Below are 19,344 nucleotides of genomic sequence, written 5' to 3'. Positions count from 1 at the left end.
TCTTTTATTTTCTTCTATCTTAGCTGTAGAAAAGTTTGGAAAAAGTTCTTATTTTTAATAAAACATGCTTTAAACATATAAAGCAATCTACTTGCTTTTCATATGATTAACACAGTTCATGTATAAGCCAACACTTTCTTGAAATGTAACCATAAATTCTTACTTAGGCAGATTATTTTCTTCCCTAACTAGGACTATGGAATACTTACATAAGTACTTTCAAGGAGGGTACAAATTGACATTTTAAAAATATACAAAAAACTTAAACTTGCCTTCAACTTGACTCAGGTTTAATGGCTTAATTGTTAGATAAACCATGGACCTCTGAGCTATTTGCATCCTGTACTGATGACTAATGATTTCACCATCTTCTTCTAAGAAGAAGCAACCTTTTGATTGCATGTGTTGCCAGTCCTGAAATGAAGGAAAAAATTATTTCAAACAATATTTATTAAATGTTTCCAGTATGCATAGTAATGAGGAGAAAACACAGGGGGATATAAAAGAAATGTCAAATATAATCATTGCTCTCCAGGAATGTGCAACATAGTTAGGAGGTAGAAAACAGACATAACAAAATCCTATTATACACAGGGCATGGTGGCTCACGCCTGTAATCCCAGCACTTTGGGAGGCCAACGTGGGCGGATCATCTGACCAACATGGAGAAACCCTGTCTCTACTAAAAATACAAAATTAGCCGGGCGTGGTGGCACATGCCTGTAATCCCAGCTACTCAGGAGACTGAGGCAGGAGAATTGCGTGAACCTGGGAGGCAGAGGATGCAGTGAGCCGAGATCGCGCCATTGTACTCCAGCTTGGCAACAAGAGGGAAACTCCGTCTCAAAAAAATCCAATTATAATTGGCAGTAATATATGGTTAACACAAAAAGATAATTATACATGGAAAATAATTTACTATAATCTAAGTTCCTAAAATAGTGCCTAACACATTGGCTCAACAAATATTTACTGTCTAATTGATTGGGGTTGGGGGACTGATGTAAACTGAGTGTGCAACTGATGAATTATATCATGAAGAATAGATAGCATTTCAATAATGAAAAGTTAGGAAAAGATATAAGGTAAAGAAGAAGTAAGAAAAATAAAGTTGGCTGGGCACGGTGGCTCACATCTGTAATCCCAGCACTTTGGGAGGCTGAGGTGGGTGGATCATGAGATCAGGAGTTCAAGACCAGGCTGGCCAACATGGTGAAACCCTGTCTCTACTAAAAATACAAAATTTAGCTGGGCATGATGATGAGTGCATGTAATTCCAGCTACTCGGGAGGCTGAGGCAGGAGAATCACTTGAACCAGGGAGGCAGAGGTTGCAGTGAGCCGAGATCACACCATTGCACTCTAGCCTGGGCAACAGGGCAAGACACCGTCTCAAAAAAAAAAAAAAAGAAAGAAAAGAAAAATGAAGTATTGAAAAAAGTAATAAATAAATATGTTGCTGTAATAGAATGAGATTAGTGCTAGGAGCACAGTAAGAAGGAAGAATTAAGGATTGCTAAAAGAAATATATTGAAAGAAAAAATGACTTTAAATGTAAGAGCAAAATAATTGCTTCAAGTGTAGATAACTAGAAGCATGCTGAATAAAAGTTTCACAGCTGGCCGGGAGCGGTGGCTCACGCCTGTAATCCCAGCCCTTTGGGAGGCCAAGGCGTGTGGATCACAAGGTCAGGAGTTCAAGACCAGCCTGGCCAACATGGTGAAACCCCGTCTTTACTAATAATACAAAAATTAGCCGGGCACGGTGGCGTGCGCCTGTAGTCCCAGCTAGTCAGGAGGCTGAGGCAGGAGAATTGCTTGAATCCGGGAGGCAGAGGTTGCAGTGAGCCAAGATCATGCCACTGCACTCCAGCCTGGGTGACAGAGTGAGACTCTGTCTCAAAAAAAGAAGTTTCACAGCTACAGAACAATGCCGATGAATATAAAATATCACTTTTGAGAAAGACTTTTCTATATTGGCTTTACCATTTCTTGGTCTAGCCAAATCCCTTCTTGTCTGAATTCATATATGGGATCTCATAACTAGAAATGAGTAAAACTTGGCCAGCCACAGTGGCTCACACCTGTAACCCCAACACTTTGGGAGGCCAAGGCGGGTGGATCACTGGAGGTCAGAATTTCAAGACCAGACTGGCCAACATTGGCAAAACACCATCTCTACTAAAAATACAAAAATAGTTGGGCGTGGTGGCGCACACCTGTAATCCCAGCTACTCCGAAGGCTGAGGCAGGAGAATCGCTTGAACCTGGGAGATGGAGGTTGCAGTGAGCCATGATCATGCCACTACACTCCAGCCTGGGAGACAGAGTGAGCCTCTGTCTCAAAAAAAAAAAAAAAAGAAAAAAGAAAAAAAGAAAAGAAAAGAATAAAACTTGAAAATGGCATCTTGGACACAAAGTAGAAGATTCTTTATTGAAGTTATGAGAAAATTGTGTCATTACCATAGCTATGTGCAAAAATGCTTTTCACTTTATTAGTAGGCTTGCCTACCTGAAATGTAAGTAAGCATATTTAAATAATAAGTTCAAGGCTTTAATAATATTGATAACTACTGAAAAGGTGTATGCTAGCTGTATAATAATAACATCATAAATGTTTTCTAATTCATTATAGAAAGATTTATTATATCACTGCAAAGGCAAAAATAATTTACATTGAGATCGGTTTCATGCTCACATTTTTAAGAGAAGACTAAATTATCCTAACATACTTACATCTCATTTTTCTATTTTATGTCACAATTATTTTCATATTTTATTAAAAATCTCTATAATTCTAATGCCCTACTTAGATTTTCATGTAATCCTTTCTAATACTGACCTTATGTAGAAACCTATTTTTTACATTTTAATAAACACTGCTTTATGTTCTGCTTTTAAAAATTAATTTTATATCCAAAATATTTTGCTGTTGAAAACGAATAAAGCTAGAGGACTCAGACTTTCTGATTTCAAAACTTACTACAAAGATACAGTAATCAAAAGGGTGTGGTACTAGCATGAAAACAGACATACAGAACAATAGAACAGAATGGATAGCCCATAAATAAATCCTTGCCTATATGGTCTAATGATTTTCAAAAAGGGTGCCAAGATCATTCATTGAGGGCAAGGACAGTCTTTTCAACAAATGAGGCTGGGAAAACTGAATATCCATCTGCAAAAGAATAAATTTGGGCTCTTATCTTATGCAACACATAAAAATTAACTCAACCTGAAGACCTAAATATGCTAAAATTATAAAACTCTAAGAAGAAAACATAGGGGGAAAGCTGACGCTGGATCTGGCAATGGTTTCTCAGATATGACAACAAAAGCACAAGCAACAATCAAATAAATTGGAATTCATCAAAATTAAAAACTTTTGTGCATCAAAGGACACTACCAACAGAATGAAAAGGCAATTCATGAAATGGGAGAAATTATTTGCAAATCACATATCCAAAAAGGGATTAATATATAGAGCATATAAAGAACTCCTACAATTCAACAACAAAACAAACCACCAGATTTTTTAAATGGGCAAAGGAATCATCAAATGATCACCTCTCTAAAGAAGATATATAGAAGGCCAATAAGCAAATGAAGAGATGCTCAACATCACTAATCATTAAGGAAAGACAAATCATAACCTCAATGAGATACCACCTTACACCCATTAGGATACCTATTATCAAAAAAACAGAAAACGACAAGTATTGGTATGTGGAGAAATTGGAACCCTTGTGCATTGTTGATAGGAACATAAAATGCATAAAATGGTGAAGCATTGTGAATAATAGTATGGTAATTTCTCAAAAAAGCAAATCTAGAATTCTATATGACCTAGCAATTCCAGCTTCTAGGTATAGAACCAGAAGAATTAAAAGCAGAGACTCAAACAGGTATGTATGCCAATGTTCATAGCATTACTGCTCACAATAGCCAAAAGGTAGAAACAACCCTAATGTCAATTGACAGAAAAATAGATAAACAAAACATGGTAAATACATACAAGGGAATATTATTCAGTCTTAAAAAGGAGTAAAATTCTGGCACATGCTATACATGAATGAGTCTTGAAGACATTATGCTAAGTGAAATCAGCCAGACACAAAAGGACAAATATTGTATGATTCCACTTATATGAGGTTTAAGTGAATTTGACCACTTCAAATTCAGAGAGACAGAAAGTAGAATGGTGGTTGCCAGGGGCTGTGGGGAGGGGGAAATGGGGAGTCATTGTTTAATGAATAGAGTTCCAGATGAAAAAGTCCTGGAGATGTATGGTGGTGGTATTGATGGTTGTACAACAGTGTGAATGTACTTAGTGATACAGAACTGTATACCTAAAAATGAGTAAAATGGTACATTTTATGTTTTGTATATTTTACCACAGGAAAAACCATTTTGCTATGCAATATTCAAAATTTCAATTTAAATGGTTCTATGATTAAAAATTGTGTTGGGGCTGGGCATGGTGGCTCACTCCTGGAATCCCAGCACTTTGGGAGGCCAAGGTGGGTGCATCACCTGAGGTCAAGAGTTCAAGACCAGCCTGGCCAACATGGTGAAACCCCATCTCTACTAAAAATACAAAAATTAGCCGGGTGTTGTGGTGGGCACCTGTAATCCCAGCCTCAGGAGGCTGAGGTAGGAGAATTCCTTGAAACCGGGAGGCGGAGGTTGCAGTGAGCTGAGATCGTGCCACTGTACTCCAGCCTGGGTAACACGGCAAAACTCCGTTTCAAAAAAAAAACAAAAACATTGAGTTGGTATACCATTATTTAGTTAACTATTTCTAAAATGTTAGACATTTAGGTCATTTCTAATTTCTTATCACAATATTAATAGAATACTGTTTTGTCTAAATGCTTTTCTTCTGATGAATAATTTCCTTGAGAACTTCTAGGCAAAAATGTATGTATATTTTTAAAGCTATTGACATGTGTTCCCATAGTGCTTTATAAAACAGTACTGCCAATTTTACAATACCACCAATGGTATATAATGTAATAATTTTACCATTATTTGGTTAGTATTGTTTTATAAAAAAATTGGGTGATGTGGGATGATTTCATAAGCAAGGTGTGGGTACATAAAGCATTCATTATGGTATTCCATATATTTGTATATGCCTCAAGTATTTGATAGTAAAAATGGTATTGTAGTAACTTTTGCATTAATTTGAATTTCTCTGATTATTAATACCAAGGCTGAACATTTCCCTCATGTGTTTATTATTTATTTTGTATAAATTACCCATTCTCCTATTCTCATAACTCTGTTGCAGACTTAGCATTTTTCTTACATATTTTAATAAATTCTTTTGACTATTTTAGATATTAACCACTCTGTGAGTGTTAATGAATGTATTTTCTCTATTTCCTTTTATTTTCATTTTGGTTATTTCTCAATTTATACAAGTTTTCTATTTTTATCTTTATCTTTTCTTTGGAAATTTCTTCTTAAACTGCATTTTAAGATTTTATCATTATAAACTGAACTATACTCAAGCTTTCAGTCAGTCATTAATCACCTGCACTGTCACACCTTTGGGGTATACAAGATATGTGTATTTTTAATTCTAAGAAATTAAGATGTGACCTTAACTTACTGAAATTTATCTTGTTAAGTATATTGCCCATGACAGAAAGAAGTCATTATATATAATATTTCAACAACATCACTATGAGGCAGTATGGGGTAGATATGAATTAAGTCATTTTAATAAACAGAAAAATTGAGGTAGCCAGAGATTATATGGGTTCAGAGTTTTATAAGGAGTTTGTAGCAATATTAGGTCTAGAGTCCAAGACATTTGGCCTCTACATTTAGACCAAGTTTCTAAAAGAAAATGTACTCAGGGTACGAATTCAAATTTTTTATTATCTGTGATACAATGAGGTTCAAAGTTGGGCTTGTGGCAGAAGTTGAAGTTCAACTTTTTTTTTTTTTTTTTTTTTTTGAGATGGAGTCTCACTCTGTCACCCAGGCTGGAGTGCAGTGGCGCCATCTCGGCCCACTGCCACCTCCACCTCCCAGGTTTAAGCAATTCTCCTGCCTCAGCCTCCCGAGTAGCTGGGATTACAGGGGCCTGCCACCACACCCAGCTAATTTTTTGTATTTTTAGTAGAGATGGGGTTTCACTATGTTGGCCAGGCTGGTCTCAAACTCCTGACCTCAAGTGATCCGCCCACCTCGGCCTCCCAAAGTGCTGGGATTACAGGCGTGAGCCACTGCGCCTGGCCCAAGTTCAACTATTAATGATGAGTAATGATACACAGACTTTCATTTAGCTTCCCTGTAAATCTCTTGGATGGGCATATATATGGACTAACAACAGATGCTGGCATTACCTCAGACCCAATTGCCCTTAACATAATCAACATGACCTTGGATGGTGATGACTGCTAAAGAATAGAAATGAAAGAAATGTTATACAGCATTTAGACAAGTTACACTTTGAGACAGTTTGAATTATGATTCTGACATTAAATGGAAAACATTTAAATGCTTTCAATCAGTTTTGATTATAGCATCAGATGGAATTTCATCCAATATATTTTATATTTTTTATATTTACCTATTTGGAATGGTAAAGGATAATACTTTAGAATTACAGACTTATAAAAGTAGAAGAAATCTAAAAAGCAGTCTAGTCCAGACTTCTCTTTTGATTGACAAAAAAGTCTGAAAAATAAAGTGATATATGTGAACAGCTATAGTTCTCAATTGACTGCAGAACTAGAACCAAAAGCTAGGTCTCCTTACTTTCTCTCCAGTGTGTAAGTTATATTCTAAGTTCTGTTCTATTTCACATTTAAATATCTGCAGTGATTTTTTAAGCCAGTTTTTAAAATAAACTTTATGAATATATTACAATAAAGTATGGTAAGGCATTATCAATCGGGATTCCATACTTTTAAGGGTTAAGATAAACTTAATTATTTGGTTTTCTTACTTTAAAAATGTAGAATTTAGTAGCTGCAAAATTTCTTAAATTTGTACTGTAATCATCAGCACAGCAGCCCTACCCCCAGCTTTAAAAAAATGGTTAAATTAAGCTTTAAAAGATAATGTACTTTGCCTGGTACACTGGTAGTAAACATAATTTGTGCCATTTAGGAAACTCAAAGATTTCGGAAGAATTTTTCAATGTGCTGATGCTACCTCTGGGGCAGTGCCACAGATTAACAGGACATAGCTTTATAAAATTTAACTGGGGAACAAGTTAAACATTTTTATTATAAGTCTTTCCTAAGTACCATGTCTAGAAAATAATGCTATAATAGAAGAGAATTTGTGAGTTTCTTTGGAAAGACAGCCAAACTACATACTATAACATTAAATATGGATTAATATAGCTGGAAAATGGTAGAACAACAGTTATTAAAGTAAGACAAATACCACATTATTTATATCAACCAAACTTCAGTGTAATATACAGATCAATTTGAATTCTAAATAACTTCACTAGGAGAACTTATAGCTCCTACTGTTCAAAAGGAAACATTCAACTTAAGATCTGCCAGAGTTATTAAACATACAATGCTTACTCAACTTAAAATTTCTTTTCAAGGCTGGGTGCGGTGGCTCACGCCTGTAATCCCCAGCACTTTGGGAGGCTGAGGTGGGCAGATCACGAGGTCAGGAGTTCAAGACCACCTGGCCAATGTGGTGAAACCCTGTCTCTACTAAAACTACAAAAATTAGCCAGCGTGGTGGTGCACACCTGTAGCCCCAGCTACTCAGGAGGCTGAGGCAGGAGAATCACTCGAACTCGGGAGGCGGAGGTTGCAGTGAGCCAAGATGGTGCCACTGCACTCCAGCCTGGGCAATAGAGTGAGACTCCATCTCAAAAAAAAAAGAAAAAGAAAAAAAAATACCCTTTCAAACAAATAGACTTTCAATCATACAAAGCTTTTTCTCTAGGACCTAGACTAAAATGTTATGAACTAAAAGAAAAAATTACTGACAAATTGGCTGGCTCATTCAAATAAATCAGTTTGAAAGGATTATAGATTAAGCTGACAGTTTGAGTATTAAGAGAAAAATGAAAGAAGGTTGAGTTTTGAAAATAATTTTAGAATAAGAGTAAGAAATTCCATGTATGATATAATTTTTTGACATTATAAAGCAGAAATAAAATAATAGCTTGTAATTCTTATATAGGGCATGAGGTGGTGCTGTATTCTACCAATTCAGGTAAATTCATATAAGTGCAAACTGAACTGTTATTTCCTTTATTTGTCATATACAAATTTTACTTATTTTCATTCATAATATATAACGAAATGCTGAAAAGTACAAAACCAAATACTAAAGCAAAAAATTCTTGTTATCAAAACAAATACATCAGTATAGTCCCATTTTTCTTGGAACACTGTAGTGAATGAAAATGATTTGTTTTAACATACAAATTCTGTATTATTAAAATTTTCAGTGAGAAAGAATTATTAAGCAGTAGATCTGCCATAGATTTAGTCAGAGGAGGAACTCATCACTATCATTATCATCACTACTGCTTTTTATAAAGATTTCCTATGTCACATACTTATTAGGAAGCTATTTGCTTTGGGGTATGATAAGACAGGTAGGTAACCAGTTGTTGCACTTTTTGTTATTAAAGAATTGTAAACTATACATACTTAAAAAATAAAAGGTTAAATAGATAATTTATGGAGGGTAAAATTGATGTGGCCTGAAATCTAATTGACAGGTTGAACTGATCAACATTTTGAAAATGTGAGAAACTTATAAGAAAATTATTATCTGGAGCTTTCACAAAAAACAGATAATGAACCATTTGGAATTTCAAATGTTTTTATTTGTATTGCCATATATAGACATACACATAACATATAAATGGTATACAATGTAGATGCTATATATGTTTTGACATTTATAATATATAGGTTGTACAACATGTGTGTGATGTGTGTGCATATGTTGTACTATATATGAATAAAACATAAATGTAGGCATACTCTAAGAATCTGAATATAGGAAGTATTGCATCTCTGGAGTTTACAACTGATAGTTTGGGGCTTACTCTAATTCTAGACATGACTGGTCTTAGCAAGGAAGGTGAAGCTATTCCTCTCTGAAAGGAAAATTCCTGACATTCCTTGACCATCACAGAACCTAAGTAAATGGATAGAATTCGGGATTTTAAAAAGAATAATAATGCAGTAACTAAGTATGGCCAATGGAAAGTAATATGCGTATAGTACCTGTAAGGATCTTATTTTCCTTTTGTAATTCAAGTCCTTTACCAATTGTGTGGTTTTGTGGTTTAAAACATGGCTTACCCTTATCTATCACAACAATTTTCTAATTTCTGAAAAGTCCCTCCTTCTCTGTCCCAATTCCATACTTTTCTGTTCCACATGAAGTTGAGATACCCAAACTTGTTTAAAATAAATTTAAAGTATCTGGAAAATTAATTTAACAATCCTTTCAGTAATTTATTCTGTACATTCACAACCAAGTACTTTTCAGAATGGTTATAAAACCTCAGGAATATATGAAATTTATGAAATAAAAAAAGAAAACTTCAAGTATTACAGTTCTTTTAGAATTTGTCTAGCAGGTTCTCTGTTTTTCCAGAAAACCACCCAGGAAGAAACAAGACTTAAAGAAAAATGTGGCCAGGCGTGGTGGCTCACATCTGTAATCCCAGCACTTTGGGGGGCCAAGGCAGACGGATCACTTGAGGTCAGGAGCTCGAGACCAGCCTGGCCAACATGGTGAAACCTCGTCTCCACTAAAAACACAAAAATTATCCAGGCATGGTGGCATGCTCCTGTAATGCCAGCTACTTGGGTAGCTGAGGGAGGAGAATCACTTGAACCTGGAAGGTGGAGGTTGCACTGAGCCAAGATCCCACCTGCATTCCAGCCTGGGTGACAGAGTGAAACTCTTGTCTTAAAAAAAATGCATAAATAAATAAAGAAAAGAAAAATGTAAACAAAGAACTGAATGCTGCTGAATAACAAAAGAGTCACTTACTTAAAAAAATAATAATTTCAGCTCATCTAAGAAATAGATAGCAAGCAACAGTGGGCAATATCAAGATCCGAAACAGGATATTAAAAGGTAAGATATACAGAGCTATCAATTATTTCCAAAAGACATTACATTTTATATGAAACTCACAGTATTAAAAAGTTGACAGTATGCCCTTTTCTTTTAATCATTAAATTATCTTAGTACCTTTTACCTAATTCCCAATTATCATCCACACCATTCCCTGCTCTTGACTTACATACAAAACTTTAGTCTCTTTGTTAAATAATCGTTATGACTTACAGACTAATTTTGGCATTTTTCTATTACACCTGCCCCTATCGTATTACATTAAGTACTATCCTAGGCCAAGTTATCATCACTTTATATTTGGAAAACTCTATCGGCCTCTTAGATGGTGTCTCTGAGGTCTCTATATATAACACAACAGTAGATTAACTTTTCTTAAACTATACTTTCATCATGTCGTTCCCATACAAGCATCCAGTTATTTCTTCGTTCTATAATAATATTAATACTAGTATTTATTAATGTCCTTTGTATATAATAAATAGTATTAACATTATTAACACTATTCTTTATTAATGTCCTTGGCATTGTGCTAAATGCTTTACATATGTTTACATACGATTTAAATCTTTCCAAAGCACACTAAATATAATTACTCCCTATTTATAGGTAAGAAAACTGAAACTCTGAAGGGCTGCTGACAAATTCACCCAAGATCACACAGTTATTAAGTGATAAAGCTAAGATTCAAGCCCAGGTAGATCTCTACCCAAAACTCTAGATCACTAATCTAATCAACATCTAGAACACTGGCACACAGTAGTCATTCAATAAATATTTGTTGAATAAATGAATGAATAAATACTATGCTATAGTGTAGCATATACCAAGGTAGTCCTTGGTATACTGTTAATAGTCAAATGAAAATTTATATTTTTAAATTCAAGCTCATATTTTACACTAAGCAAAATAACTGGCACACATTACATGCTTAGTGAATATTTGTTGAATTGAACTAAATTTTAAAAATTATATTGGTATGAGCCCAACTAATGACACAGAGACAAAGTCTTACTATAACTTAACATAATCCACATTAATATTTATTTATATCTCTCTTTACAGTGGCTAAAATTACATTTATTTGTGCTTTTGAATCAGGTAAACCATAATTATTTAACTAAGTTAATTTTATTAATAATTAATTTAGTTGCAAAATACAAAAAGGTTCCATTGGTGGAAAGTAATATTGTTGGAACACTAAATATTGTGTATGAACATGTTGGACATGCACACCAAATTGCTTAGGGTGTATAGATTCCTAAACAGTCTGAACAAAATTCCTTGGAGATAATGTTTTAAAATTTTAATATAGAACAAATGTCACTCTCTAGCAATTTAAAGATATAAGGGACTTCAGAGTTCAATAACAAATACAGAGTTGTTATTTGAAACAAAAATGTGGCTCTTGAGAGCAATCAGTTCAGTTTTCTAACAGCAGTTATAGTATGTGGTCATAACCATTTTTTCCCCTTTTACAGAGGTCTCTAGGTGCACATTTTTAATGTATCCTAGCAGTTTCCAGTTAATGTTTTATATTTCTGTAACTATTATTTTCTGTTGAAAGAAAACTAGTAAAGGTTGAGTCTAGAAAGGGAAAACAAAGAAAGAAGATCAATATTAACACTCTACAAATATTGACTTAGCAAAGTGACTTTGTTGTCATTCTCTCACAGGAATTGAAATTGAATGAATGATTTATTTATATGAAACACCTATGGTGAATATTTGTTAAACAAAACAAAAAATTTGCTTCCCAAAGTATATAACTTGATAATCTACTCATCAGGTTATAAAACTTGAGTGTTACCATTTTCAAACTGAAGACCTTATAATAATATTCATCATTTTTAATTTAAAAGTATTACACTAGCTTACAGGTAGAAATTACACAGAAAAACCTCAAATTACTTCATAAACTTTACTGGTTCCCTGTAGACACTGCACAGTTATTAATAAACTTAATGTCAAATTTTTTTCAGAAAAAGTCATCTGTTAACTTAAAATACTATACCTTTATTAAATTTGGCTCCATTAACTTTGAGTTTCGGTTACCATTAGCCCCCATGGTAACTGTGAAGGAAACAGATGTTTTGAACTTCCTGGTTGCTGACAGTAAAGAACTCCTGGTGTCACCTGCAACAAGTAATGATTATTTGGTCTGACATTATGAAAAGTTGTCAATAGGAGTTTTTTCCAAACACAGTGCAGTATAAAAGATCTACTGTATTACTTTGATTCTCTTTGTTCTCCCTATTGAAATAAAGTCAGAAGTTTTATATTTATCAGGCTTTAATGATCCCTAATTTATGGGCTTCTAATAAGAATTCTTATTTCAATATGTCACCTTTCAGTCTGAAATTTTAGTTTTAATAAAATATAATGAGCATAGCTAAGTCAAGTTCCATAATAAAATTTTACTTCAATAGATTTTTACAGCTGAAAGAGTCTAGAAATAGTAGCTAACAAAAGTTAGATTCTCATTTGTTTTATCACTGATAAGCTGAAATGGAAGGAAAAATTTATCTGAATATGACTCTTCATTTCTGATCAAGAAATTCTTAGTGTTAAAAGTAAATACCTTTATTTAAGAATGTTTCTGGATCAGTTTTTCTTGTGATTTTAGGTGATGGTTTTGGTACTGGTGATGGGTCCCTTTCAGGGGACCCTTCGATGTGGTTTCCAAACTGGTGACGCATCAATTTACTGTCAACCTCTAGTTTTTCTAGTGTAGTCTTGAGACATTGCTCGTTGGTTGTCATATATAATTTACAAAACTACAGGAAAAAAAAAGTCCAGTGGGTAAAACATTCAATCATACACTGGGGAAGAGGAGAAAGCAAATGCACATTAGTAGGCAAGGAACAGACTGATAGATGGAATATATTTCCTATTGATGGTTACGCATTTTATTTTTTTGAATCAGATTGACCAGCCTCAAGTGACCTAGTGAAATGTAGCCGTGATTCAATGAGGAGTTCATACTCTGTGTGAAAATAAAATGTTACACAAGGAGAGGTGATTTATTATTATTTTTTTACAAGATGTGTAGGCTTGCATTTGTTCAAAATAATTTTTATGATTCTTCCACCCCAGAAAAAGTACATTTCTGAGTAGAGTCTCTATGTTTATGTGTGTATCTGTCCGTGTGTGTGAGCACACATGTTTTTTAACTTGGTTATATTATTTTAATGTAGTCATCAGATTGCAATTATGGGACTGGAAAAATTAAATTTCATGCACAATATTTAAGGATGTCATTGCCAATATTAAAAAGATGCATCCCTTTAAAAATAATTTGCTGACATGTTAATTAGTTGACATGTTAACTGATTTAATTGTTTCACAATGTATACATATATCAAAACATTGCATGTACACTGTAATGTCAATTATACCTTAATAAAGCTGGGGAAAAATAAAAACACTTTTCCAACACAGTATGTAAATTTACATCAATGTGAGCTTATGTACCTTGATGTAGTCAAATTTGCCATCAGCATTTACATCAGCCAAATTTATTATGGCATTTACTTCTTCTCGAGTCATCTTCTCACCTCTCTGAAAAAAAAAAACAAGATTTATTTTAAAGCAACATGATTACTCCTTTGTTATTCATGGGGACAGTGGAAGCACATTTTAATCTTTTCCACAAGTAAGTCTGAATGTATTGCTTCATTATAAATCATGAGTATTATATATAAAGAAAGAATGAGGCGGCTATATAAATTTCACAATTTTATTAAATTTTGTGAAAGTGTGCTGAATTTCAGTTTACTAAATAGTAACTAACAATTGAATAGTATAGAGTCAGTTATAACTGCTATTGAGTTTAGGGGAATGATATTTTCTAACATTGTATCAAAAAACAGAATGGATTCCTAATCCCATTTATATTTGGTTTTCCTTTTACTTATCACATATGGAACTATCACTGATTTTCAAAGAGTTCTGAACAGGAACCAATTAAATAGGAGAACAAGGGGATGGTAACATAAGCTCGATTTTATACTTTATCTTTTATTTACAAAGAACATTTCATCCAGAAGGATTCCTAAGTACGTTATAAATAACATGTAAGTAATTCATTTAACCTCTCAATGAAATACTTATTTTTAATGTGGACTTTGGTAGTCAAAGCTAGATTCCAAGCTGTTTTAGAAAATATGCACATTACAAAACAGTTTTACAGATCTTACCTTTGTTAGAAATTTATAAAGGTCAGTGTGTAAAATACAGCCATCATCATTTACATCTAATTGCTTAAATGATTTTAGTAGTTCTGCTTTTGAAGTAGGTTTTTCCTTCCTTAAAATTATACAAAAATCATCAAAATTCAGTTTGGCAGTTTGAGGAGTCCAATACTTATTAATGGTCTTTTGGGATGGATTTCTTCCTGCATGCTGAAGAGCTGCCCAACAAGACAAGTATTATTTGTGATTGTAACACCTGGAATTTGTACTTAAGCGCATTTTTTTCTTCAAATCATTATGTATTATGATATTTACAAAACACTATACATATACCAGTACATTACTTTGGTGTTGACTTATCTAGTGATACCAAGATAGGCCTGACTTTGAAAAACAAAAATATTTATGCCACCACCTAAACATTCTTTAATTATTAATACCAGAATTAAATAGATTTTCCTTATTCTGACAGTTTGGTTCTCAACCTACATGGTTTAAATAACTAACAATATCTGATTACTTAAGAGCTTCTAAAAGCTTCTAAAGGAAATACAAGATTAAAAACAACCATCCACTTAATTGTTTGGGGGACAAAAGGATAACACAAAAAGTATAAATTAGTACTTTTTCTGGCTAAATAAATACCTTAATGACTATTCAGCCATAAAGAAGGAGGAAATCCTGTCATCTGCAACAACATGGATGAACCTGGAGGACAACATGTTAAGTGAAATAAGCTAGACGCTGAAGACAAATACAGCGTATCTCACTTGTGTGGAATCTTAAAAAAAAAGTTAATATCCTAGAAGTAGAGAATAGATCAGTGGTTACCAGAGACTGGGAAGGGGAACTTAAGTACTATCTAAGTACTCTGGGGGTAGGGGAGGATGGGGAGAGGTTGGTCAATGGGTACAAAGTTACAATCAGATAGTGGGAAATAGGTTCTGCTATTCTATTGCACAGTATGGTGACTATAGTTAGCATTAAGGTACTGTATATTACAAAACAGCTAGAAGAGAGGCTTTTGAATGGTCTCACCACAAAGAAAAGATAAATGCATGCAGCGACGGATATACTAACTACCTTGATTTGATCATTATACAACATATAAATGTATTGAAATGTCAAATTGTACCCCATAAATACATACAATGTGTGAATTTAAAAAACAAATATCTTAATGAAATGAGAAAATCATTCATTTAAGAATACCAATGTCAATAAGGCACGATATCTAAAATGTTCATCTTTGCTAGGTACTAAGCTTTCAAAAACATTAATCATGTTCCAAATGTCAAATATATGCACATAAAGTATCCCTTTGCAGGCATGGTCCTGCTAAAAATCAAGAATGTCAATATACTGTGAGAGAAGATTATTATAGAGATGCTATGGTCAAACTACTCTTCATTTTTAACCATATCCTTCTATCTATGAAGAGCAAAGAAGTACATGTGAGAAAAGCTTTGTATATTTATGTATGTCATATCACTCTAAAATAAAATGGTTAAAGCAACTGCAGATATTTTGAACAGTTGAATAGAAGTAACTTGGTAATTTGCAAATAAATCTCTGCATACTGAAATATAACATTTTCTAAAATGAACCAATGATAAATTTCCTAAGCACCACAGAAGGAATTAACATAATTTTAAAAGATACAATTGTCCTGAATTGTACTGCCAAATTCTATTACAAAATCTTATATTGGATAGTTCCAACTATCTTTATAGAAATTCACAAGATCTGCGCATCACCAATCAGCATCAAAAAATGATAATCTGGATATTGTACAATTTAATGTAATAAGGACCAGTAAGTATAAAACAATTTCACTAAAGAAATATCCTCATGGAAATAGAAACCAGATCAGGGTAATAAATACAGATATAAGTGAGTCAGTTATATTGAACATTATTGTGCACAAGTATAGTATAGGGTGATTTTTGTTCATCAATACAAACTTTTTAGTTCCAAAGAAATTTTATATTCTAGACTGGCGTGGTGGCTCACACCTGTAATTTGGGTTTACAATTATACTTTGGGTGGCCGAGGTGGGCAGGTCACCTGAGGTCAGGAGTTCAAGACCAGCCTGGCCAACATGGTGAAACCCTGTCTCTACTAAAAATACAAAAATTAGCCGGGCCTGGTGGCCTGCGCCTGTAATCCCAGCTACTTGGGAGGCTGAGGCAGGAGAATCGCTTGAACCTGGGAGGCGGAGACTGCAGTAAGCCGAGATTGAGCCACTGTGCTCCAGCCTGGGTGACAGAGGAAGACTGCATCTCAAAAAAAGAAATTTTATTTTATTATTATTATTATTTTTTGAGATGGAGTTTGGCTCTTGTTGCCCAGGCTGGAGTGCAATGGTGTAATCTCGGCTCACTGCAACCTCTGCCTCCCGGGTTCAAGTGATTCTCCTGCCTCAGCCTCCCGAGTAACTGGGATTACAGGCATGCACCACCACCCCCAGCTAATTTTGTATTTTTAGTAGAGACGTGGTTTCTCCACGTTGGTCAGGCTGGTCTCAAACTCCTGACCTCAGGTGATCCGCACGTCTCGGCCTCCCAAAGTGCTGGGATTATAGGCATGAGCCACCGCGCCTGGCAAGAAATTTTATAATCTAAATAGGAAGTCTACATCTGACTGTAAAATTGCTATCTATGGCCATAACTCATGGGTTATAACATATTAAAAATCCATAAATAAAATTCTCTTCTCCTCTAGATTATGCCAGTGACTTTCAGAGCTAACAGAAGTTGTAGTTGTGGTAACCGCCATCTTCCATATACCTATAAAGGCTTTGTGGAAATTCATTGCATTGGAGATAATATAAATGTTTTTATTCCCACAGTTTTATTTTGGATGTCGACAAAAGCCCTGATTACCATGCTGCCCTAGCAACAACAGGTAAGTAAGTATTTTGCCTAGTGTGTAAATGAACTATTCCTTAATTCAGCTGTTTACAGAATCAAAGAAATGGCAATATGTGTTTTAGGATTCCAACCCCAGCCAGCTCCTACCCTTTAAAAGCTGGGAATACAAGTAGATGTAAATGAAGTTGTAATTTTTTTTTTGCCTCTAAAATATTTTTATTTTAAAAAGGCTTAGTGTGCAAAGATGTTTATCATATTGCTACACTACTGCTACTAATAATAAAGGAAACAATGTTCAAAGAATCAAGGAGTGGTTAACTGAATCATGGTACATATACAGAACACATTTACACAACTACTAAATTATTTTTATGACAATGAATATTATATAAAATTTCCTGCAAAATTTCTTCCTTATTGTTAAGCCTAAAGTGCCTTTTTTCTAAGGTTCTTTTTTTTAAATCTTTAATTTTTGGAGATACATAGTAGGTGTATAATATGAGATTTTTTGATACAGGTATGCAATAATTACATCAGGGTAAATAGGGTATCTGTTGCCTCAAGCATTTATCCTTTGTTTCAAACAATCCAATTATACTCTAATTATTTTAAAATGTACACTTAAATGATTTTTTTTACTAGTGTCACCCTGTTGTGCTAGCTAAATACTAGGTCTTATTCTTTCTATTTTTCTATTTTCTATTTTCTCCCCCTACCCCCACTACCTTTCTCAGCCTCTGGTAACCATCATTTTACTCTCTATCTCCATGAGTTCAATTGTTTTAATTTTTAGCTCCCACAGATAAGAAAGAATGTGTGATGTTTGCCTTTCTGTGCCAGGCTTATTTCACTTAACATGATGACCTCCAGTTCTATCCATGTTATTGCAAATGACAGGATCTCATTCTTTTTTATGATAGCTGAATGGTACTCCACTGTGTATATGTACCACTTTTTTTATTTTTATCCATTCATCTATTGATGAACTCTTACGTTGCTTCCAAATTTGGGCTATTGTGAATAGTGCTGCAGTAAACATGGGAGTGCAGATATCTCTTCAATATGCTGATTTCCTTTTGGATATATACCAAGCAGTAGGATGCTAGATCCTATGGTAGCTGTATTTTTAGTTTTTTGAGAAGCCTCCAAACTGTTCTCCACAGTGGTTGTACTAATATACATTCCTACCAACAGTGTAAGAGGGTTCCCTTTTCTCCACATCCTTGCCAGCATTTGAAGTCCACATGAAAGAAAATTATATCTTCTGTTCAGTTTTGAGAAAAAAGGTATGTAACTTTTTCTCACAAGTGGTAGCTTAGCATATGCTTGCTGCTATCTTTAGTAACAAAGAAAATATTGTTTTAAAAAATGTACTGGTAATTAGACAAGAACAACTTTCTCAGAATAAAATTAATTATGCCAAAACATGTACTCAGTAAGCAGATGTCCCCATAGCTAAGAAATTGATACAATCTATTTCCTACTAACTTTAATCTCTAGGTTTAGAATTAGCTGGATCTAATGATTAAGTTTGATGATAGTAAAAATATCACGTAGCTGTAGATATTTAAATTTTGACACCATGATATGGATCTTTTGCCAGGGTTTACTTTAAAGTTCTGACATGCATCTATAATCCTGTATTATTTATAAATTGACAAAAAAGGAACTTAAAGCTATAGTAATGCTACCGCTGTCTCTGACCTTAAAATGGAAATGCACATAAGTGGCAGAAGGATATAGATGAAAGGTGTAGCAAGAAGCAGCAGCTCTAGTTCATGTTACTCCTTTTTAAAAAATAGTTTATCTAAAATCAATTATTACAACGTTAAGAGAGTATTCCACCCTAAAACCAAAAGTGTATATAACACTGAAGAGACAAACACTGTATAGTTATCCTCCCAGATAATTTCATAAGATTGATAGCACCTTAGTAATACATACACATTGATTCACAAACTAAATGCCATAGTAGTGGAAGGCATGTTAAACTTTTAAACTTAGCAGATTCCTTCTCTTAGTATATTTTCAAAACAGTAACAAAAAAAAACTCGGATTATTTTAGAAATAATGGCAAATTAGAAGTAATTTTAATTTATTGGCCAGGCGTGGTGGCTCACGCCTATAATGCCAGCACTTTGGGAGGCCGAGGCAGGCAGATCACCTGAGGTCAGGAGCT

General features: G+C 34.1%; 2 protein-coding genes and 2 pseudogenes across 7 annotated transcripts in view; 3 read left to right on the top strand and 1 right to left on the bottom strand.

Annotated features, from left to right (window-relative positions):
• Window positions 1-19,344, bottom strand: part of EFCAB7 (EF-hand calcium binding domain 7) — a 61,846-nt gene that overhangs the window by 39,041 nt on the left and 3,461 nt on the right. For all 6 annotated transcript variants that reach the window (XR_946779.4, XM_011542301.3, NM_032437.4 and 3 more), the window contains exons 3-7: window positions 14,299-14,510; window positions 13,574-13,660; window positions 12,681-12,876; window positions 12,114-12,235; window positions 273-414 (exon numbers count right to left, since the gene is read on the bottom strand). Coding sequence is in view for 5 of the 6 variants with exons in the window: in XM_011542301.3 (XP_011540603.1) it covers window positions 273-414; window positions 12,114-12,235; window positions 12,681-12,876; window positions 13,574-13,660; window positions 14,299-14,510 (759 nt within the window). In the remaining variant the exon portion in view is untranslated. The remainder of the gene's footprint in view (window positions 1-272; window positions 415-12,113; window positions 12,236-12,680; window positions 12,877-13,573; window positions 13,661-14,298; window positions 14,511-19,344) is intronic.
• Window positions 9,560-9,619, top strand: RNU7-123P (RNA, U7 small nuclear 123 pseudogene; annotated as a pseudogene).
• Window positions 16,432-16,717, top strand: RN7SL488P (RNA, 7SL, cytoplasmic 488, pseudogene; annotated as a pseudogene).
• ITGB3BP (integrin subunit beta 3 binding protein) overlaps window positions 17,143-19,344 on the top strand; it is an 88,418-nt gene continuing 86,216 nt past the window's right edge. The window contains exon 1 of the mRNA XM_024446042.2: window positions 17,143-17,199. The gene's annotated coding sequence lies outside the window, so the exon portion shown is untranslated. The remainder of the gene's footprint in view (window positions 17,200-19,344) is intronic.

Source organism: Homo sapiens, chromosome 1 (assembly GCF_000001405.40).
Source record: "Homo sapiens chromosome 1, GRCh38.p14 Primary Assembly".
Lineage (NCBI taxonomy): Eukaryota > Metazoa > Chordata > Mammalia > Primates > Hominidae > Homo > Homo sapiens.
Note: the sequence above shows the minus strand (reverse complement) of the source record. Positions and strands in the feature narration are given on the sequence as shown.